We start from the raw sequence: 22737 nt of genomic DNA on the forward strand, positions 1-22737 counted from the left end.
CAGGTGCCCATCACCACGCCCAGCTAATTTTTTGGTATTTTTAATAGAGACGGAGTCTTACCATGTTAGCTAAGCTGGTCTCGAACTCCCAATCTCAGGTGATCTGCCCGCCTCGGCCTCCCAAAGTGCTGGGATTACATGCGTGAGCCACCTCACCCAGCCAATAAAAGAAAATTATAAAATTGAAAAAGCATAGTGATCAAAATTAACTAACCAAAAAAAGAGCAGATTAGACCCAGGCTGAAAAAATTGTGTGAACCAGAAGATAGCTCAGAAGAAAATACCCACAAGGAAGCCTGGAGACATAAAAAATGGAAAAATTTGGAGAGGGTGGGAGACAGATATAGTAAGAAGGTCTTACTTGTGTTTAATTGTCACAAGAGAGGAGAAGTGAGAGAAAATTGAGGAGACACAATATTTGAAAAGATAATGTGGCCAGGTGCAGTGACTCACGACTGTAATCCCAGCAGTTTTGGATGCTGAGGTGGGCGGATCACCTGAGGTTAGGAGTTCAAGACCAGCTTGGCCAACATGGTGAAACCCTGTGTCTACTAAAAGTACAAAAATTAGCTGGGTGTGGTGGCAGATGCCTGTAATCCCAGCTACTCGGGAGGCTGAGGCAGGAGCATCGCTTGAACCTGGGAAGTGGAAGTTGCAGTGAGCTGAGACCACACCATTACACTACAGCCTGGGCGACAAGAGCGAAACTCTGTATTAAATAGAAAAAAAAGAAAGAAAAGTAATACCTGAGAATTTTCTACAACAAATAACAGGTACCATGAACAGATTCGATAGCCGTATGAACTGAAAGAACCATATCTAATCAATTCCTGGTACACCCTTGTGCTCTGCATAATGATGTTTCCGGATGATGATCCACATGGACAAAGGTGGTCCCATAAGATTATAATGAAGCTGAAAAATTCCAATTGTCTAGTGACGTGGTAGCTGTTATAATGTTGTAGGGCAATGAATTACCTATGTGTTTGTGGTGATGCTGGTGTAAACAGACCTACTGCACTGCAAGTGGTAGAAAAGTATAGCACATACAAGTATATACAGTACATAATAGTTGATGATGATAATAAACAACTATGTTACTGGTTTATGTATTTACTATCTATACTTTTTATTATTTTAGAGTATATTCTTCCTACTTATAGAAAAAAGAAAAACAAATTGTAAAACAGCCTCAAGCAGGTCCTTCAGGAGGTATCCAGAAGAAGGCATTGTTATCATAGGAGGTGACAGCTCCATGCACGTCATTGTCCCTGAAGACCTTCCAGTGGGATAGGATGTGGAGGCGGAAGATAATGATACTGATGATCCTGACTCTGTGTAGGTCTAGGCTAATGTGTGTGTTTGTTTCTTAGTTTTTAACAAAAATATTTAAGAAGTAAAATAATTAAAAAAATTAAAAATAGAAAAAAGGTTATAGAATAAGGATATAAAGAAAATACTTTTGTACAAGTGTACAGTGTGTGTTTCAAGCTAAATGTTACTACAAAAGAGTAAAAAATTAAATTAAAAGTTTATAAAGTAAAAATATTACAGTAAGCTAAGGTTAATTTGTTATTGAAGAAAGAAAGTCTTTCAAAAAATAAATGTAGTATAGCCTAAGTGTACAGTGTTTACAAAGCATAGAGTACTGGTCAGTAGTGTCCTAGGCCATCACATTCACTCACCAGTCATTCACTCACTCATCCAGAGCAACTTCCAGCCCTGCAAGCTCCAGTTACGGTAAGTACCCTATACAGGTGTACCATTTTAAAAATCTTTTATGACATATTTTTACTGTACTGTTTCTATGTTTAGTTATATTTAGATACGCAAATACTTGCCGTTGAGTTATAGTTGCCTACAGTGTCAGCACAGTGATGTGCTCTATGGGTTTGTAGTCCAAGAGCAATAGGTCATGCCATACAGATGAGGTGTGTGCCATCTAGATTTGTGAAAGTACACTCTGTGATGTTCACATAGGATGAAATCACCTCATAACACATTTCTCAGAATATATGCTCATTGTTAAGCAACTGATAACTGTAGCACCGTTGAAAACCATAGATGAAGAGAAAGAGAGAAAGGCGGAGGTTGCAGTGAGTCGAGATCACACCACTGCACTCCAGCCTGGGCAACAGAGCGAGACTTTGCTTCTAAAAACAAAAACCAAACAAAAAAAGAATGACAGCTGTGTTCTTAACAGAAATAATGGAAACCAAAAGTCTATTGAAATTTAAGTCCTCAAAGAAAGTTACTGTGAACCCAGAATTCTGTATGCAGCAAAAATGTCCTTCAGAAAATACAGTTGAAATAAAGATACTTTCATATAAACAAAAACAATGTTTTTGCCAGCAGACCCACACTAAAGGAAACATTAAGTGTTTTTTGTTTGTTTTGGCTAAAGGAAAATGCTCAAGTTAAGCGTTAGAGTTACAGGAAGGAATAGAGACTTAAGGGTTTCTACGTGGGAAAGACCAAATGATTATTAACTATAAAAATTATGCCTTTGGGTTTAAATTATATAGAATTAAAATACATGACAACAATGTCCTGTAGGTTAGAAAGGAGGCAAATAGAGTAGAACTTTTCTAAAGTCTTTCCATTTCCAGGAAGAAGAACAAAGATCCAATTATATTAGACAAGTCAGGGATGCATGTTGTGTGTAATCTGTGTGGTGGCCACCAAAATTGTGATAGTGTGTGATAGCTAAGCTAAACAAGAAAAATAGAATCAGAGATTCTAAATCTGAAAGAAGGCAAGAAAGGAGAGAAAACACTGAACAATTGGGACAAAGAGAAAGCAAACAGTAAGTTAGTAGACTGAAATCCCAGTATGTCAGTAATCACATTAAATCTAGGTGGACTTAAATGCTCCAGTTAAAATACAGAGATTGTGAGATGGGATACAAAAGCAAATCCTGACTAGGCTATTTGAAAGAGATACGTTTAAAACATAAGGATATTAAAAGATTGAAAGTAAAAGAATAGGAAAAGATACTATGCAAACACTAACCAAAAGAAACTTGGTGTAGCTATTTTAGTATCAAAGTAGATTTTAAGGGCAAAATTATTAATAAAGATATGCTGATAAATGAGAAAAAGTTCATTTTGGATATAATAATTTAAAATTTGGAAGTAATGACTTCAAAATATATAGAAGAAAAATTAACACAATTGTAAGGGAAACAAATTCATAATCATAGTGAGATGTTTTAACACACCTGTCTTACATGCTGTATACATCAAGTAGACAAAGAAATTTGTAAAAGTGTAGAATTGAACAACACAAGAACGGAACTTTTTTTTTTTTTTGGGAGACGGAGTTTCGCTCTGTTGCCCAGACTGGAGTGTAATGGTGCAATCTCTGCTCACTGCAACCTCCACCTCCCAGGTTCAAGTGATTCTCCTGCCTCAGCCTCCAGAGTAGCTGCGACTACAGGTGTCCATCACCATGCCACCATGCTTGGCTAATTTTTGTATTTTTAATAGAGATGGAGGGGGGGTCTCACCGTCTTGGTTAGGCTGGTCTTGAACTCCTGACCTCAGGTGATCCACCTGCCTCGGCCTCCTGAAGTGCTGGGATTACAGGCGTGAGCCACTGCACCTGCCACAAGTACTAAACTTGACCTAATGGAAATGTATGGAACACTGTACCTAACAATTGTAGAATCTAAGTTTTTTTCCAATGCACAGGCACATTTGTCGAAATTCACTATATGCTGGCCATAACACAAGTCTCAACAGCTTTCAAAAGAGTTGAAATTATAGAGTATGTTCTGACAACAGAATTAAGCCAGGATCAATAAAAAGAAAATCTCAATGTATTTGGAAATTTTAGATGTCTATTTCTAAGTAATTTATGAGTCACAGAAAGCTTAAATATTTTGAGTTGAACAATAGCAAATATGTATATATAAAATGGGGTACAGCTGAAGTCATGTTTAGAGGGAAATTTATAGCTTAAAATACGTATATTAGAAAAGAAGACATGCTGAAAATCAGGTAGTTAGAAGAATAGCAACACATTAAACTCAAAGGAAATAGAGTATTTTTTTAAAGGATTTATAGAAGAATGAGGAGGAGGAGGTTGCTGATCAAAGAGGTATGCAAAGGCCCTGTGGCAAGAGGGAGCTTGGGGAAATCTTGGGGCTGAAAGAAGGCTGTGGTGGTTAGGGCTGGTAAGCATCGGGAGCCTTTGGTTGGGATCTGACACTGGAGAGGGTTGGAGGCTGTGTTAGGGAGCTCTGCCTATTTTCCCCCAGATTAGTGGGATACTATTGCTTTAAGATTTTAGGAAGGACCATGACCTAATTGGATCGTGGTTGAAAAGATGGCTCTAGCTGCGCTGCGGTTGCCTGAGTGGATGCTGGCTGACCCAATGCAGTGAAAGATGCTGGCAGCCTGGGCCTGTGCTGTGGCTGTGGCGATGGGGGAAGTAGCTGGATTTGAGAGATGCTGAGGAGGTGACATTGTGAGAACTCAGTGATGGTTTGGTGTGGGTGTTGGGGGAGAGGAGGTTTGTGATTCCTGTGATGAGCTGGATAATGGAACTCTTCTCTGATATAAGGAGCTGTGGTTGAGGACAGCTTTGGGGATTTTGCTGTTACCTGGCTCTGCTGCATGCTATCCTGGAACCTCTTATTCTCCACTACCCCAGTTTTGCCAATGAACGACATAGATTCAGCAGTTAGGTGGCTTGCTAGTGTGCCATGAAGCCATGTAGGTCTCACTGAACCCAGATAGGGCCTCCTTTGTCCCTTCCTCCCCAGCCCCCAGTCATGCAGCAGCAGTGAGGATGGTTCATCTGAGCCCGAGAGTGAGGACAGTGTGACGGGGTCAGGGCCCGATTGGATGCTGGGGCCGTTGGCTTTTAGGAGGTGGGCAGAAGAGGAAGAGGAGGACTAGTCAAAGAAGGAAGGACTGGCAGGGGAGGAGAAAGAAAGGGGGCTGCAGAGAAGCCCCAGAACCAGCACAGTTTACCTCTAAATACCTCAGTGTATGTCTCCACAACATGAGGATATTTTCTTATATAACAATACCATTATACCTGAAAAAACTTTTTAACATTTAATATCCAGATCATTTTCAAATTTCCCCAGTTGAACCAGAAATGCCATTTATGACCTTCCTTTTGGGAACCAGGTACCCATCAAGTTTTACGCATCATCTTTGGTTGTTGTTATCTCTTTAGTTTGTTAAATTAGAACAGCTTCCACTGTTCTCTCTTCCCGTTCCCTACCTGCCTATAACATCAACTTTTTCAAGAGACAAGGGCAGTTGTCTGGTATTAATGACTTTTTTTTTTTTTTGTTCAGACAGAATCTCACTCTGTCGCCCAGACTGGAGTGCAGTGGTGCGATCTCGGCTCACTGCAACCTCCGCCTCCCAGGTTCAAATGATTCTCCTGCCTCAGCTTCCCAAGCAGCTGGGACTACAGGCGCCCGCCACCATGCCCGGCTGATTTTTTTATTTTTAGTAGAGACGGGGTTTCACCATGTTGGCCAGGCTGGTCTCGAACCCATGACCTCAAGTGATCCGCCCACCTCGGCCTCCCAAAGTGTTGGGATGACAGGCATGAGCCACCGCACCCAGCTGTATTAATGACTTTTAATGGCAAAAACCTCCATTACTTTTGTACCAACCTAATAATCTTTCTGGATTTTTCTGATTGTTTTCCCATCATTCTTTTACATTGTTGTTTTATCTCCTATATTTCCTATAAAGTAGAAGTAAGCAGTTTCAAAGACTCTCACTTCTATATTTTGGTTGACATTTTGGGCATATCCCTAAATATGGAATGCTCTGTGCTCTACCGCATCCCACTTGGAGGTGGGTGTGTCCTGTCAGGCTGTCCCCCTCTGCTGTGTCATCGCTTGGTTTACAGATTTCTAGGTCTTTTCTTCCTCTTTTTTTTTTCTTTTTTTTTTTTTTTTTTTAATAGAAGTGGGATCTCCCTACGTTAAGCCAGTCTGGTCTTGAACTCCTGACCTAAAGTGATCCTCCTGCCTTGGCCTCCCAAAGTTCTGGGATTACAGGCATGAGCCACCTTGCCTGACCAGATCTTTTCATTGGAGATGTGATTTCCCCTTTACAGTTAGGAAGTAATAGGTGATTCCTGGGCACTGTGCAAATATCCTTTACCCCAAATGGTTTCCATATTCATACACAATACAGGACTTGCCTGAAGCAATTTTATTATAAGAGTTTTTAAAATGGAGATTCCTGCCACCCCCATTGTGTCATTTATTCCACATTTATCTGTTGGTGTTATTCTGTAAAGATATTTTCTTGGGGCCAGGCGCGGTGGCTCATGCCTGTAATCTCAGCACTTTGGGAGGCCAAGGCTCAGGCGATCACTTGAGGTCAGGAGTTCGAGACCAGCCTGGCCGATATGGTAAAACCCCATCTCTACTAAAAATACAAAAAAATTAGCTGGGCATCGTGGTGGACACCTGTAATCCCAGCTACTCCAGAGGCCGAGGCAGGAGAATCGCATGAACCCAGGAGGAGGAGGTTGCAGTGAGCCAAGATCACACCACTGCACTCCAGGCTGGGCGACAGAGCGAGACTCCATCAAAAAAGTGAAAATAAAAGGATATTTGCTCACTTCAACCGAGTTAAGGACCACAGTTCCTCCTAAAAAGGCAGGTCAATTGCTGGATTCTTTGTTTAATTACCAATGTTCGAGGTAAGGATTTGGTAAATAGTCATCCCCAGTAGAGGCAAATGTTTCTCTCCCCCCAACCCTAAACCCCCACACCCACCCTGAGTATCACTATATGGATTCATGGCAATTTTTATTCAGTGTTTTACAATCAGTTACAGTCATTCTTTTTGATGCTAAAATTATCCTGATTTTCCTGGAAACACACCTTCATCTGGCTCTTTGGTCTTTAAAGGCTTGCTTGCTATGTTGCGATCTGTTTTCATCTTCTGGATAGAGTCCTGGAGCTGGAGTTTCAGGTAGAAGGGACAGTGTGCGTCCTGTGGCCGAGGCTGCCAGCCCACAGCGTGCATTGCTGCCCATTTCCTGCCAGTCCTGGGACGAGAGTGCCTAGGAGTTTCAAGATTTCAGGCTGGCAGGTCTTTGTTTTCCTTTTTTGGATTGGCTTAGGTTTAGGGTTGTCTCAGCCTCATAAAGTGAGTTGGGTAGCTTTCTGTGAGGAAGGCTTTTGTCTCTGCCTCTCATATTGCATCTCCATTTATTTTATTTTTTGGGGGGAGGTTCTCATCTGTAGGTTAGACCATCTGTCTCCTTACCACTCTGTCCATCTCAGTATTTTTCCCTGTCCACTGTATCCATCAGCATTCTGGGGGCCTCAGTTTTGTCTTTTTGCCACCAGTGACATTTTCTGTAATGTACATTTTTCCCTTTGACTCCTTCCAGTTGGATTTTAATTTTTCCGTAGTGTGATTGTTTTTGTTTTCTAATCTTGGTCAGCATCTTAGCTTGTTGTCTTTTAATTTCAACCTATTCTCATTTTGGTGCTCCCTGTCTTTTAAAAACATTTTAATTTTAACTTTTTAAATAAAGGCCACGTCTTCCTGCATCTTAGGACAAGAATCACATCTTTTCTAAAATGGTCTTCCATTTTCTGCAATCATTCATTTCAGGTTTGTGCATGTACTTTATGGCATGTTTTTCCATCAGCCTCTCCCCTCCCCCTTTCTGTTCTGATGTGATGTTCCTTGAATGGCGTTTGCCAGGCTGCGGGTTTGAATTGCTGTTTCCTGGGGACTTGGCTGGGCACAATCTGGGGCTGGCCGTGGGGTGATCGGCCACGGGCCCAGGCTGTGTCTCTGCTGCTCTGGGCGGGCTCTCCCCTCACCTTGAATTCATGTGCAATGGCCCCATTTTCCGTGTCCATGTGTGTTCCTGAGTAGTGGGTGTTTGCTGATCACCTGCTGCCCACTCTGCTGGCTCTGCTCTTCTGTGTCTGAGGGTAAAGGGTGTCTGCCTCCCTTTCCCCTGCAGGAAGGGCTGGACTCTCATCCCCTGATGAATGGTGCTTTGTCCTTATAGAATGATGGAAGAGGGACACTCTTTTTCTTTTAAACCTGCTATTTTAACCATTTTAAAGTGCACAGTTAAGTGCCATTAAGTACATTAATGGTATTGTGTAACCATCACCTCTATCTAGTTTGGGAACTTCTGTATCCCCTACATGGAAATCCCTTCCCCATCGTGAGTCACTCCTCATTTCCCCCTCCTCCCAGCTGCTGACAACCACTAATCTGCTTTCCATCTCTATGGATTTGCCTATTCTGGATATTTCATTTATTATTTATTTATTTTTTAGATACAGTCTTGCTCTTTCTCTCAGGGTGGAGTGCAGTGGCTCAATCTCAGCTCACTGCAATCTCTGCCTCCCAGGTTCAAGCGATCCTCTCACCTCAGCCCCCCCAGTAGCTGGCATTACAGGTGCACTCCACCATGCCTGGCTAATTTTTGTATTTTTAGTACAGAGGGGGTTTCACCATGTTGTGGCCAGGCTGGTCTCCCAATTCCTGACCTCAAGTGATCTGACCGCCCTGGCCTCCCAAAGTCCTGGGATTACATGCGTGAGCCACCGCACCCGGCCACTGAGCACTGTGTTTTCAAGGCTTATTTACGTTGTACGTTTCAGAACTTCTTCTTTTTTTTTTTTTTTTTTTGTTTGAGTGAATAATACTCTGTTCTGTCAATGTACCACATTTTGTTTGCTCATTCATCGGTTGACAGATATTTGGGTTGCTTCTACCTTTTGACTATTGTGAATAGAACTGCTGTGAACATTCATGTACAAATTATTATTTAAATACCTATTTTCATTTATTTTGTATTTTTTTTTAAATTTTTGAGACAGGGTCTCTGTCACCCAGGCTGGAGTGCAGTGGTGCAGTCATGGCTCACTGCAGCCTCCACATCTTGGGCTCAAGCAGTCCTCCCACCTCAGCTTCCCAAGCAGCTGTGACTACAGATGTGTGCCACCATGCCTGGCTAATTTTTTAATTTTTTGTAGAGATGAGGTCTTGCTGTGTTATCCAGGTTGGTCTCGAACACTCGGGCTCAAGTGATCTTCTTGCCTTGGCCTCCCAGAGTGCTGGGATTACAGGTGTGAGCCACTGTGCCCAGCTGACCTGTTTTCATTTCTTTTGGGTACGTACATGTGAGTTAAATTGCTGGATAATTCTGTGTTTATCTTATTGAGGAGCTGCTAAACCACAAAGGCTGCACCATTGTATGTTCCCTCCAGCAGTGCATGAGAGTTCTGATGTTTCCACACTTGCCAACTCTTGTTACTTTCCACTTATTATAATATAAATGTTATAATATTTAATAATTTAAGAATATTATATTATTCAGTTCCTCAATGACTAACAATGTTGAGCATCATTTCATATGTTTATTGACCATTTGTATATATTTTTTGAAGAAATACCTATTCAGGTCCATTGCCCATTTTCCAATCGGGTTGTCTTCTTGTTGTTGAATTGTAAGAGTTTTTTATATATTTTGGGTACTAGAACTTTATCAGATACATGATTTGCAAATATTTCCTCTCATTCTGTGAGTTGTGTTTTCACTCTCTTGATAGTGTCCTTTGAGGCACAAAAGTTTTGAATTTTGATGAAGTCCAATTTTTTTCTTTTGTTGCTCGTGCTTTTGGTGTTATGCTTAAGAAACCATTGCCTAATCCAAAGACAAGATTTATACCTATGTTCTTCCACGAGTTTTGTAGTTTCAGCTATTATTAATATATTTAGTCTTTGATCCATTTTGAGTTATTTTTTGTATGTGGTGTGAGGTCAGGTTCCAACTTCATTCTTCCTGTGTGGATGTGCAGTTGCTCCAGCACCAGCTGTTGAAGAGGAGCGCTCTCCAGTTGGAGTCTGCCTCCCCAGCTGTGCAGACAGCCCTGCAGTATTGAAAAACAGCCACAGAGCTCCTCAGGAGTGCTTGGAAATCTCAATGGAGTTCATAAAGTGATTCTTAATAGAATCATTCTTATGTATGGTTATGAGACATTTACATATTTAAAGAGTTTAAAAGGAAGTATCTGCATTTCAGAATTTTTACTGCCATGGAACTCATCTACATTTTATTTTGTTTTATTTTATTTTTTTCAGACAGGATCTCACTGTCACCCAGGCTGGAGTGCAGTGGTATGATCTCCGTTCACTGCAGCCTCTACCTCCCGAGCTCAAGTGATCCTCCCAGTCAGCCTCCTGAGTAGCTGGGACCACAAGCATGCACCACCACACCTGGGTAATTTTTGTATTTTTTGTAGAGACGGGTTCTTGCTATGTTGCCTAGGCTGTCCTCGAATTCCTGGGCTCAAGCAATCCGCCCGCCTCAGTCTCCCAAAGTGGCTAGGATTACAGGCGTGAGCTACTGAGCCCAGCCTCTTCTACATTTTATGTTTGAGAATATGGACTTGATTCAGTTCTTTTTATAGTTTGGTAAACTTGAAATAACACTCATCTCATTAAATCCAGTCTCATTTGACATTCTCAGTATTTGAACTCTGATAAAAATGGACTAGTACTCAGAAGCTGGGCAGAAGGGAAGTCTGAGAAGTTGTTCTCTATCTCCTTTCTCTCTGTGGTTGCTGAACATTTTTGTGTGCTTCAAGAGGGCAAGTAGAACCAGGTTTGTCAAGAATTAAGACATAAGTCTTTTTTTTTTAATTTTTATTTTTTTTCTTACATTTAAGGGAGATCTGGCCAATGTGTATTTTTATTGTCCATTAGTCACAATTGTCTGTGTTTTTATATCTAACTAGTGTTTTGTATTATTTGCTGTTTGTAGAAACTCCTTGGTAGTTAACTGCAGCTTCTTTGTCCTCTGGCAGCAGAAATGGGTATAACCATTTGGGAAAGTGACTTAGTGAGTGTCTGAATAACTCCAAGAGACTCTTGGTCCAGAATTCTAACACTGGGACTCTATCCTGAGAAAATAATCTTAAATATAAAGCTCATGAACAACATGTTTATTGTACCATTAAATATAAAAAGTTGCAAGCCACCCCAGTGTCCAAGTCCAGCTTAGGACAAACCCCACCAGAACACTCCAGTGTAATGACTCAGTGAGTTAATGATAATAGCTGATAAAATGGGTACTGCGGGCGGGTCCCGTGCTGTGCTCTGTGCGCGTGCTGTCCCACTTCACCTTCACAACTTCATGGTGGCTGCACCAGGTCACAAAGCTGGAAAGTGGCAATGTGCATGGCTCTCAATGCCTGAAGCTGCCAGCCAGGTAATTGAGGAGGTCAGCAACAGGGACGGTACTATGTGATGTTGGAGAAATAAAGAGGCGAAGCTGTGTTTACAGAATGCGTTTCAGCAGTGTGTAAAACACTGGAAATAAGATGGAATAGGAAATAACACGGAGGAAGTTTCTTATGATATTGTGGGTCGGGTTAGGTGGTGAGATTTGTATTATTTTTATGTTTACATCTGCTTGCCTGCATTTTCTAAAATGAGCATGTATTATTTTATACCAAAGGAAACAAAAAGGCATAACATGCTTCCCGTCAATGGAAGACTCCTAATGGTAAGAGGGGCTGTGTTGTGACGTGGAGATGATTCAGATTGGAGAAGCAGCTGCCCTCAGCCTTATCTGGAATGTCCTAAAACAGCTGAAACGATACTGTTGGATCAAAACAGATTGAATTTCAGGAGTCAAATATACAAAAGGGCATGCTTGTGAAAATACAGGATTTAAGTTTCATAATATCCTAATAAATGGGTACATTATATGGAACGACTTAATTATGTTCCCCCTTGTTTGAACTTTCAACTCCTGTGTTGAAATTAAATCTACACTTACCTAAGAAGTGAGCTCAAGGTCTTGATATGAATAGGATGTATTTTAGCTTGAGATGTAAACTGTTTGATGCGTGCAATGTTATCAGTTCTTTAGATAATGTTCATAATGACATTAGCATCCCTAAACATTTGAATAAATGAAAAAGAAATAACATATAGAATAATAATACACAAAGTAAAAGCAGATCTAGTTGCAGTATATTGTTGTTTGGAAAAGCAAGTTATTGAATAATTTGTACATCATGTAACTCCCCTTTATGTCTTTTAGTTTAATTTTTTTTTTTTACACAGGGTTTTTTTTGTTTTTGTTTGTTTGTTTGTTTTTGAGATGAAGTCTCGCTCTCACCCAGGCTGGAGTGCAGTGGTGTGATCTCGGCTCACTGCAACCTCCACCTCCCGGGTTCAAGTGATTCTCCTGCCTCAGCCTCCTGAGTAGCTGGGATTACAGGTGCCTGCTACGATGCCTGGCTAGTTTTTGTATTTTCAGCAGAGACAGGGTTTCACCATGTTGGCCAGGCTGATTACGAACTCCTGACCTCAAGTGTGCCTTCTGCCTCAGACTCCCAAAGTGCTGGGATTACAGGCGTGAGCCACTGCGCCTGGCCTTGACACGGGGTCTCGCCCTGTCACCCAGGCTGGAGTGCAGTGGTGCCATCATCACTCACTGCAGCCTTGGACTCTTGGGCTCAGGTGATTTTCCTGTCTTGGCCTCCCCAGAGGCTAGGACTACAGGTATGGGCCACCATGCCCAGCTAATTTTTAGATTTTTTGTAGAGATGGCATCTCACCGTGTTGCCCAGGCTGGTCTTGAACTCCTGGGCACAAGTGATTTGCCCACCTCTTTCTCCCAAAGTGCTGAGATTACAGGTGTGAGCCATAGCACCTGACAATTTTATTTTTACATTTTTCTTTTTAGAGGCACGGTCTTGTTCTGTCATCCAGGCTGCAGTGCAGTGGTTCAGTCATAGCTCACTGGAGCCTAAATTCCTGGGTTCAAGCAACTTTTCTGCCCCAGTTTCCTTAGTAGCTAGGACTGCAGGCGTATGCCACCATACCCAGCCAATTTTAAAAGTTTTTATAGAGATAGAGTCTCTATAAAAGCAGAGGGATACTTTACTATGCTATGTTGCCCAGGCTGGTCTTGAATTCCTGGGCTCAAGTGATCTGCCTGCCTCGTCCTCCCAAAGTGCTGAGATTACAGGTGTGACATACCATGCCCAGCCCCACTTTTCTGTTTTATTTACACACTTGAAAACAGATGGAGCCGGGCGTGGTGGCTCATGCCTGTAATCCCAGCACTTTGGGCGCCCAAGTCCGGTGGATCACCCGATGTCAGGAGTTCGAGACCAGCCTGGCCAACATGGTAAAATCCTGTCTCTACTAAAAATAACAAAAATTGGCCAGGCGTGATGGCACACGCCCGTAGTCCCAGCCACTTGGGAGGCTGAGGCAGGAGAATCGTTTGAACCTGGGAGGTGGAGGTTGCAGTGAGCCGAGATCGTGCCACCGCGCTCCAGCCTGGGCGACAGAATGAGACTCTGTCTCAAAAAAGGAAAAAAAAGAAAAAAAAGAAAGAAAACAGATGGGAAGGATGTTATCTCGGCATGTGAATAGTAGGTGTTAGCGTGGCTGGGCTCTTGGTGGTCTTAAGTAAATAAAAAGTAACCTCCAGCAAACAAGTCTGCCATGAGTTGGGCCATTTAACACAGGACTTTATTCTCCAAATGTCAGAAAACAGGTGAGGAAGCAGCTGGTTGAGCACATGCCAGGGGAGAGGAGGTTGAATGCTGATAGTGGCAGCACTGCCGCATTGTTCTCAGGTGCTTTTCTGTTTGGTGCCTTGCCCTCTGAGGTGGGATCCATAGGTCAGGAAGCTGGGGAGGCTGCCTCTAGTCCAGGCAGCACCAGCTTCAGGCCTCTGGTGTGTTTCACTGACTTCCAAGTTTCCAAAGCGCCCTGTCTGCACCCCTCTTATGACACTTGAAAACAATTTATGGAAATTTCCAAGCAGACACGGAAGTAGAGACCGTTGAATTAATCACATCAGCCTGTGTCTTTCTTGTTTCATCTGTCTCCACCCCCTACCCACACCCCTACTTTTCTCCTGAGCATTTTAAAGCAAATACTTCTGGTTCTTCCTACTGTCAAGTATCCCTCTGATGGAGCAGTTTCCTGAAAGGTCAAGGGTCGAGTCCCTTTCACTGTAGTATTGCAAGCCACACTCAGCACTCAAGTGTTCAATAAACATTTATTGAAACAGAGTGATTTCATTCCACAGCTCGATAGGGAGATGGATTTTGTTCTGTAGGTTTCGCAGAAGCTGAATCTTTCCTACCTTAATGAACCACAGAGCGCATGTGTGTATTTTGGGATGTCGCACCTGCTGCTGGGGGTTAAGGTTTGTTTCGCCTTTGGTGTGTAGTGGAGATGGGTTTGTGCATAAATTCACTTTCAGAAAAAGTAGGGTGACTGGTTATGGCTATAATTTAGTCTGAACTTGTACAGACAAAAATAATGAAAAGTAAATCTTCCCCAGACATAAAAAATGTTTTTCATTTGCTGTCTAAGCATGGAGAGAGTTGAAATCAGACAGATCTGGGTCTGAAGTCCACATCTGTCACTTCACTGTAGATGTCTATGTCCTCTCTGGACCCCAATTTCTTCATTAGTAAAATGGGGCTATAACTATTGTATGGGGCAGATTAAATACAGATTCTACATAAGCTCCTGGCACATAGTAGGCACTCCATAAATACTGATTATTTCTTCTCCTTGCCCATGGTTCTGTGAAATGGGAATGTTTCCTGGGCCTCCCTTAGGAGGTCATTGTATGGATTTTTTTTTAATATATATGTTTTTTATTATACTTTAAGTTCTAGGGTCCTTTGTAGGGACATGGATGAAGCTGGAAACCATCATTCTCAGCAAACTATCACAAGGACAGAAAAACCAAACACCGCATGTTCTCACTCATAGGTGGGAATTGAACAATGAGAACACTTGGACACAGGAAGGGGAACGTTGTATGGATTAAATGAGTAATCTTTGGAAAGTGCTTACACCTGAGCCTGGAGCAAGTCAGAGCTCAGCCTCCTGGGTGCTGCTGCGGGTGCTGCCCCTGTCCTGGGAGTCCTTTTAAAATCATGTGTGTGCCTTCCCTGTCTCATCTACCCTGTTCCCTTTCCCTAGAGGTAACCACTTAACCATTTTTATTATTATTTTGGTTAATCCTTCCATTGTTTCTTTTTGGAAAAAAAAAACTAAGTTTATCTTCTTCACACACAAACAATGTCCTCCTTTTTACAAAAAGATATTAATAGCGTAGCATGTTCCTTTTTTTTTTTTTTTTTTTTGGAGACGGAGTTTCACTCTTGTCACCCAGGCAGGAGAGCAATGGCACGATCTCGGCTCACTTCAACCTCCACCTCCTGGGTTCAAACGATTCTCTTGCTTCAGCCTCCCGAGTAGCTGTGATTACAGGTGTGTGCCACCACTCCCAGCTAATTTTTTGTATTTTTAGTAGAGACGGAGTTTCACCATGTTGGCCAGGCTGGTCTTGAACTCCTAACCTCAGGTGATCCACCCGCTTCGGCCTCCCAAAGTGCTGGGATTACAGGCGTGAGCCACTGCGCCTGGCCCCTTAATAGCATGTTCTATGCATGTTCTGCACAGTTATCTTTTTACTTGCTCTGATTTGGAGAGGTTCCGTAGTGTATAAAAATATCTTCCACAATCCTTGTATAGTTATATGGTACTCCATATTTTGAATGTACCGTAATTTATTCGACCACTAGCCTGTTGGTGGGTATTTGGGTTATTTTCAGTGTTCTGCTATAATAGTTTGTAGCACATAGCCTTGTACAAACTTTTTTTTCTATTTTGCCAAAGTGTCTTTTGGGATAGATTCCTAGGAGTGGGCTTGCTAGATCAGAAGAGTAAATGCATGAATAACTGCTCTGGATTTTGCCAAATGTTTGTCTTCAGGGCCATCCCGTTTTGCAGTCGTGTTGAGTGCCTGTCTCCCCGTTGCCATAGAAGCAGAATGTGTTGCCTCTTTGGTTTTTTTGTTTGTTTGTTTGTTTTGAGATAGAGTCTTGCTCTGTCACCCAAGTTGGAGTACAGTGGTGCGATCACAGCTCACCGCAGCAGCCTCGACCTCTTGGGCTCAGGTGATCCTCCCACCTCAGCCTCTCAAGTAGCTGGAGCTATAGGTGCACTAATTTTTAAATAATTATTATTATTTTTTGTAGAGACAGGGTCTGTGTTGCTCAGGCTGGCCTTGAACTACTGGTCTCAAGTGATCCTCTCACCTCAGCCTCCCAAGTAGCTTGGACCACAGGTGTGCACCACCACGCCCAGCTATTTTTTTTTTTTTTCTAAATTTGAGGCCGGGTGTGGTGGCTCACGCCTGTAATCCTAGCACTTTGGGAGGCCAAGGCGGGTGGATTGCCTGAGCTCAGGAGGTCGAGACTAGCCTGGGCAACATGGTGAAACCCGTCTTTACTAAAATACAAAAATTAGCTGGATGTGGTGGCGGGCGCCTGTAGTCCCAGCTACTCAGGAGGCTGAGACGGGAGAATTGCTTGAACTGGGGAGGCAGAGGTTGCAGTGAGCCGAGATTGTGCCACTGCACTCCAGCCTGGGCGATAGAGTGAGACTCCATCTCAAAAAAAAAAAAAAAACTTGTAGAGATGGGGCCTCACTGTGTTGCCTAGGCTGGTCTCAAACTCCTGGGCTCAAGCTATCCTCCCGCCTCAGCCTCCCGAAGTTCTGGGATTACAGGCGTGATCCACTGTGCTCAGCCTTGTTTGTTTTTTGTCAGTCTGATGGTGCAAATAGTATTTTCACTTAGTTTTGTTTTTCTCTTCTGAGCTAGGTTGAGCATCTTTTCCTTTGTTTAAGCGCCTTTTGCATTTTTTTCTGTCAAATGTTTTCATATTTTTTGCCCCTTTTTCTACCAGATTTTTAGTCTGTTCTCAATTTTTATAATTTCTTTAAAGATTAGGGATATTAGCCCTTTGTAGTATTTTGTAAAACTTCCTGGCGAGGTGTAGTGGCTTATGCCTGCAATAAGGGAGGCCAAGGCCTGAGGATTGCCTGAGCAACATAGTGAGACCCCGCCTCTACAAAGCAAAGCAAAACAAAACAAAACAAGCGCACCTGTAGTCCTAGCTACTTGGGAGGCTGAGATGGGAGGATCTCTTGAGCCCAAGAGGTCAAGGCTGCGGTGAGCTGTGATTGAGCCACTGTAGCCCAGCCTGGTTGGCAGTGTGAGAACCTGTTTCAAAACAAAAACAAAACTTCCTGAGGCACTGGCGTGATTAAGATAAATAAACCCACTGAACCTGAGGGACTGTTGGTCTGGGGAGGGAGACAGCCTCATAATGGATGTTCATGTACTTGCAAAGCGGTGATAGCTAGTTCTGCCTGGGGGGAGGTGATAGCTAGTTCTGCCTTGGGGGAGTCTGGGAAGACTTCCCGAAGGTGGTGGTATTTGACTTGGGTCTCAAAGCTTAGTCATTTCCCAGCCAAGAGAAGAGGAGCTGAGGATTTCCAGGCGGAGGAAAGAGTATATTCAAAAAAGTGGGGAAATAAAAGGAGTTGGTTGTGTTTGGGTCAGGTGGTTCTGGGAGGGGTGAGAGAGGAGCCTCTCAGATTGGGAGGAGCCCGGTGGGCCACGTGAAGCCTTCCTAGATGACAAGGAAAGCAAGGAGAGGTTTGGGAGTGGGCCCTGGCTCTGAGACTGTATGCTTCTTCCAGTCACCTGGGAGTTTTTAACACTGTGGCTCCCTGCCCCCTCCCACACTGATGCTCATCACTGGTGGGGTGGGGCCAGTGGTCACTGTTTCTCAAAGCTTGTCAGGTAATTGTAGTGGCAGTTGGGATGAAATCCTCCCGTTGAGAGAATTGTGGCAGCAGGTTGGAGGAAGGATGGACAGAGAACAAACTTGGTGTGCTTAGGAACCACCTGGGCTCTTGGCAAAAATTCATATTTCCAAGGCTCAGGAGGTTGGGAGTGGAGCAGTAACTTGCTTTTTCTTTACTTTTTTATTTTATTTTATTTCTATATTATTATTTTAATAACCTGTATTTTGTTTTTAGAGTAGTCCAGTGAAGTAGTGAGAATGGGGTAGAGAATAGAGCAAGGAGTTCAGTCTGTAACTGATTGTGAACCATCGTTTGAGATAGCTCACTGCCTTCAGGCCAGCGGTAACCTGCATTTTTAACAAACGTTCCAGGGGTTCTGATGTGGTGGTCTGGGTCACACGTTGAGAGGCACTGAGGCAGAGACAAGAGGCAGAACAACTTAAGCCTGAGGTAGGCGGAGCTGAAGAGGAGGGGCAGAATCTTCCATTATTTTAACAAATACAATCAATGATCCTAGGTAGGCAATTAGAAATGGGGAGTGAAGGAGGAAAAGAGTTGAGCACCTGCTACTTCTTTTAGATTTGATGATGCTATTAATATTAACTAAAGAGGAAACGTGGGGGTCAGTGAACAGTGAGATGAGGTACATTTCAGTGTGGAGGCCTGGCCCCTGGGGACGCCAGCCTGCAAGACTAGGTTGGATTAGCAGTGATGCTGACAGAGCGGGAGTGAACTCAGCCAACCCATCGTTATCAGACAGGAATGCATTTGGCTGTAGGTTGATGTCATCAGGACCCACACTGGCTACCTTGTGGCCTCAGCATGGCTGCTGCAGCACTAAATGTTGTATGTTCATTTAAAGCAAAGGTGGCACTGAGACTACACGTGTTCCCATATACCAGCCAAGCACTTGCCTACCTCCCCACCCCCAACAGAACTGCTTAGGTCTCCTTGACCAGTACTGGGGCAGTGGGGATTAGCCCTATGATGAAAGGTCCCCCGCGACCACCACCCCCAGTTCAGAAACAAGGTCCTGTGAGCAGTGAGGATGTGTGTGTGTGTGTGTGGGGGGGTGTTAACACCACATACCGCAGCATACCGCAGTAAGAGAAGCGTCCTGGCTTTAGGAAAGTGGGTGTGAACTCCAAATGAGGGGCAGACCTGGAGCCGCTCTCCTGGGGGTTTGGGCATACACATCGTTGCCACTTTTTGGCTTTTTTGGGTTTGGTCCTTCCTCACATTAGTGGGGGCAGGAATGAGGTGTCTCTCCTCCTGTCGGTGGAGGCTTTGGCATAGGAGCTTTGGGACATGGTCGTTTTTAATAATCCTGGTGGCAGTGCATTGAAAACCAGGGTAGTGGCAATGGGGAAATTGGATTCTCTTGATGGGTAAGGGAAGGATGACTGTCCTTTTTCCATGAGTTGGTGTTTTGGAGTCTTCAGAAAACCTATGTTGGGTTCCTTTCTGTCAGAGTTAGCACCAGACTCAGGGCCTGGCTCTGCAGAGCTGAGCGGGATTCTGCAGTGCGGCAGTTGCCCGGTGCGCTCTCTCCTGCTGGCCGTTGGTGTCATGAAGACGCTGATGTGGCACACACTCCGTTGCCACCTTGGGCGTGCACACTCCCTCAGCTTCTGCCAGGATGCGGTAAGATCAGCTTATAGGTAGACAGGTGGTGGGTAAGTTGCAGGTAGTTCCTGAATGAGGATGAATCTGTGGGTAGTGTTTTGAGTAGATACAGGAATTTACCTTTGCTTAATTGATTTAAATCCGTTATCAGCAGACTTTTATGCTGAAGTTTTATTTTGCCAACAAGTATTATTGTCTGGGCTCTGGTGTGTCATTCATTAGCCAAGTGGCCTTGGGTGAATTACTTAATCCTCTGGCCCTCAGTTTCGTAATGTGTAAAGTGGGAATATTACCACCACTTTCAAAATTGGTGTGAAGATTAAAAGATGAAAATGGCTCCTACTTGGGTAGTGGCTGTGGTATGTGTGAAGAAGTGTTGGAGATAACCTGGAGGTCTTTGAATATGTTTTGCATGCCTTACGTTTTGTGAACAAATTATTTTCTGATTGCTTCCTATATGTGAATCATGGTGCTTGTAAACTGCAAACCACAGATGAAGCTTTAGAGATAGAATTGGAGAGGCCTGGGATTTCTTTTGTGACCTGTCATTAGTTGTTCAACCGGGCAAGTTACTCAGTCTCTCTGTTTACCAGTTTTCTTATTTGTTAACTGGAATACTAGTTTCTGTCTCATAGACCAGAAGTGTTTGTTCTGTTAAGAAGACAAGTAAATATAAAAATACTCATGAAAATTTAAAGTGATATGCAAATTGGGCCAGGTGCGGTGGCTCACGCCTGTGATCCCAGCACTTTGGGAGGCCGAGGTGGGTGGATCACCCAAAGTCAGGAGTTCGAGACCAGCCTGGCCAACATAGTGAAACCCTGTCTCTACTAAAAATACAAAAAATTAACCAGGCATGTAGTGCGCGCCTGTAATCCCAGCTACTCGGGAGGGTGAGGCAGGAGAATTGCTTGAACCTGGGAGGCGGAGGTTGCAGTGAGCCAAGATTGTGGCACTGCACTCCAGCCTGGGCGACAGAGCAAGACTCTGTCTCAGAAAACAAACAAACAAAGAGATATGCAAATTGATAGAAATAAGTTTACCAGCTTCTTTCCACTGAAACATTTGTATGTTAATTTTTTATTCCAGTATTTCCACTTTTGGGGGGCTTTGTGAATTTGGGTGATGTTGCTTAATTAACCATAGTCAGGTTTCTGTTTTACCTGCTTTTTTGTTGTTGTTGAAGGACCGGGGAAGTCTAAAGGACAGATAGGTGGCTGAAGTGGACATTTGGCTAATTTTCTTTCCTTTCTGCTACTTTTTTTTTGTTTCCCTCCCCAGTTTCCCAGCTGTCTGCCTGCAGCCCCTCTGTCCAGGTCACCTTGGGCAGGCTGTGGCTTGCTGCCCTCAGCCTCTGGACACGACTCTTGGTCAGTCCCCTCCATTTTCTTCACCCCCACGTGGCAGCTGTTTTTCATTTGTTTGTCTTTTACTGCGTAAATGTGGAAATCCTCACTCCTTACATGCTCAAGACATTAACACTAATAGTCTGAGATTTTACTTCTATCCTTATATTGATTAACTATATTTTTCCCTTTACCATTTTACATGCAGAATAATACATGGAGTATACACATAAGTTGTGAAGCACAGTCACGGACTGTGCACACGTGGACCCACCTGCGCGGCTGAGTGCCAGGGTGCTCTTCTGTGGCATCCTCCAGGGTTAAGCATCCTTTGGGGCTTAGTCTCCATTTGACTTACTCTTCTGGTAAATGCCGGTTCACACTTTTTACCTATTTTCTCTTTGGTGGTTTTTCTTTTTTATCATTCCGTGGGAGTTTCTTTTTTTCTTTCTTTCTTTCTTTTTTTTTTTTTGAGAGGGAGTTTCACTCTTGTCACCCAGGCGGGAGTGCAGTGGCATGATCTCGGCCCACTGCAACCTCCGTCTGCTGGGTTCAAGCGATTCTTATGTCCCAGCCACCGAAGTAGCTGGGATTACAGGTATCCGCCACCATGCCCAGCTAATTTTTGTATTTTTAGTAGAGACAGGGTTTCGCTGTGTTGCCCAGGCTGGTCTCGAACTCCTGACCTCAGGTGATCCACCTGCTTCGGCCTTCCAAAGTGCTGGAATTACAGGCATGAGCCACCGCGCCCAGCCCGTTCCATGGGAGTTTCTGCTATATTCTGGTTACTGGTTACTGACTGGCTGTCAGCAGTAGTGTACCTTTTTTTCCCACCTTGGCTTTTCTTTTATCTCTTTCTGAGGTGTCTTTGATGAGCAGAAATTCTCAATTGCAATATAGTTGAGTTTAGCAGTCATAGCTTATATCTAATATTTTTTTCTATTACATTTAAGAAACTCTTCCCAATTCCAAAGTCATTGGAAATTCTCTGTCGTCTGCTGGACGTTTTGAAGTTCTTCTGCCTTTTGCTGTAGCGCACCCAGAGTCTGCCAGGAGCTCACGCGTGTGGTGTCCTTGGCTAACCTGCCATCTCAGCCCCTTTGCTGAAGTCCCCCTCCCTCCCAAACCCTGGTTTGCAGTGCTGCCTGTTACACATCAAGCTTCCAAATCTGCAAGGGTCTGTTTCTGGGCTATCTTTGGTCCCCAAATTCCGCTTCTCTTAATTTGCTTTAAGGATAGTTGAGGACATAAGCAGATATTTACTTACGGGAATATCCACTGAAGTTCTGATGATAGCATTGAGGGAACGGGAAGCATTCTAAATGTTCCGGCAGTGGGAAGCAGGTGAATGATGGAGGGGAGGGTGTGTAGGTGCCGTGAGATACTCTGTAGCCGGTAAAAATGCATTTGCTGATGTGGCTATATGGTGATAATATACATGACAAAAAAATAGCAAGGTCACATAACAGTATGTACAGTATGGATTCCACGTTCATAAAAAGAAAGTTGTAAGTTGAAAAAAACCTGTTATCTTGCTTTCTCCTGTCCTGGTCACACTCAGGGTGATTTGATCTGGCTTCGACCCCATCAGGCCACCATGTCCGCTCTGGCAGGTCCTCGGTGACCCCCTGGTGGCTGCTTCCTTTATCCTCAGCTCAGTTCTCATTTATGACCTCGCTGCTGCATTGGACATCACTGATGCGATCTTCTCGACGTGCTCTCTGCTCTCCTCCGCTTCTGCCCACTTTCTTCTTGTTCTCCTTTCTGGCTTTCCTTCCTTGGTATTGGTGTCCCTGGGTTCCCATTTCCCTGGGCCTCCGTGTACTCCATGCTTTCTCCTTTGGGGCCCTTGGCAAGGCATCTCCTGTGTTAAAACTTCTACATCACAGACCTGCAGAGCTGGCCGTCGCCTTACACTGAACTCCCCTGACGTCCTCGAGGCCCGCAGAGTCAGCACATCCAGAATGAAACCCACATCCCCCCACTGAGCCACACTCTTTGGAGGCATCCAGGATTTCTGTCCTGTCTCCTCCCCTTCGCCTCGGTCGATTCTCACATCTTTCTGAACATTCCCATGCCTGTGTCCA

The 22737-nt window shown here is 43.7% G+C and overlaps 1 protein-coding gene across 9 annotated transcripts in view, besides 5 other annotated features; it reads left to right on the forward strand.

The window, feature by feature from the left end:
• The window catches only part of DGKD (diacylglycerol kinase delta), a 117605-nt gene that overhangs the window by 7442 nt on the left and 87426 nt on the right, over positions 1–22737 (forward strand). Inside the window, exon 1 of one of the 9 annotated variants that reach the window (XM_011512031.4) lies at positions 1231–1338. The exons of the other annotated variants lie outside the window; for them this stretch is intronic. The gene's annotated coding sequence lies outside the window, so the exon portion shown is untranslated. Of the gene's footprint in view, positions 1–1230; positions 1339–22737 lie in introns of those variants that run through there. 9 annotated transcript variants of the gene reach the window in all.
• Positions 2141–2240: an enhancer, noted in NCBI's record as "active region_17342". NCBI's record gives its function as "activates an Ori minimal core promoter by ATAC-STARR-seq in GM12878 lymphoblastoid cells {active_cell/tissue: GM12878}" and the evidence as "EXISTENCE:reporter gene assay evidence [ECO:0000049][PMID:35858748]".
• Positions 5795–5995: a silencer, noted in NCBI's record as "peak4087 fragment used in MPRA reporter construct". NCBI's record gives its function as "represses an SCP1 promoter by STARR-seq MPRAs in K562 erythroleukemia cells {active_cell/tissue: K562}" and the evidence as "EXISTENCE:reporter gene assay evidence [ECO:0000049][PMID:32103011]".
• Positions 18498–18547: an enhancer, noted in NCBI's record as "active region_17343". NCBI's record gives its function as "activates an Ori minimal core promoter by ATAC-STARR-seq in GM12878 lymphoblastoid cells {active_cell/tissue: GM12878}" and the evidence as "EXISTENCE:reporter gene assay evidence [ECO:0000049][PMID:35858748]".
• Positions 18678–18747: an enhancer, noted in NCBI's record as "active region_17344". NCBI's record gives its function as "activates an Ori minimal core promoter by ATAC-STARR-seq in GM12878 lymphoblastoid cells {active_cell/tissue: GM12878}" and the evidence as "EXISTENCE:reporter gene assay evidence [ECO:0000049][PMID:35858748]".
• Positions 22345–22414: an enhancer, noted in NCBI's record as "active region_17345". NCBI's record gives its function as "activates an Ori minimal core promoter by ATAC-STARR-seq in GM12878 lymphoblastoid cells {active_cell/tissue: GM12878}" and the evidence as "EXISTENCE:reporter gene assay evidence [ECO:0000049][PMID:35858748]".

Source organism: Homo sapiens, chromosome 2 (genome assembly GCF_000001405.40).
Source record: "Homo sapiens chromosome 2, GRCh38.p14 Primary Assembly".
NCBI lineage: Eukaryota > Metazoa > Chordata > Mammalia > Primates > Hominidae > Homo > Homo sapiens.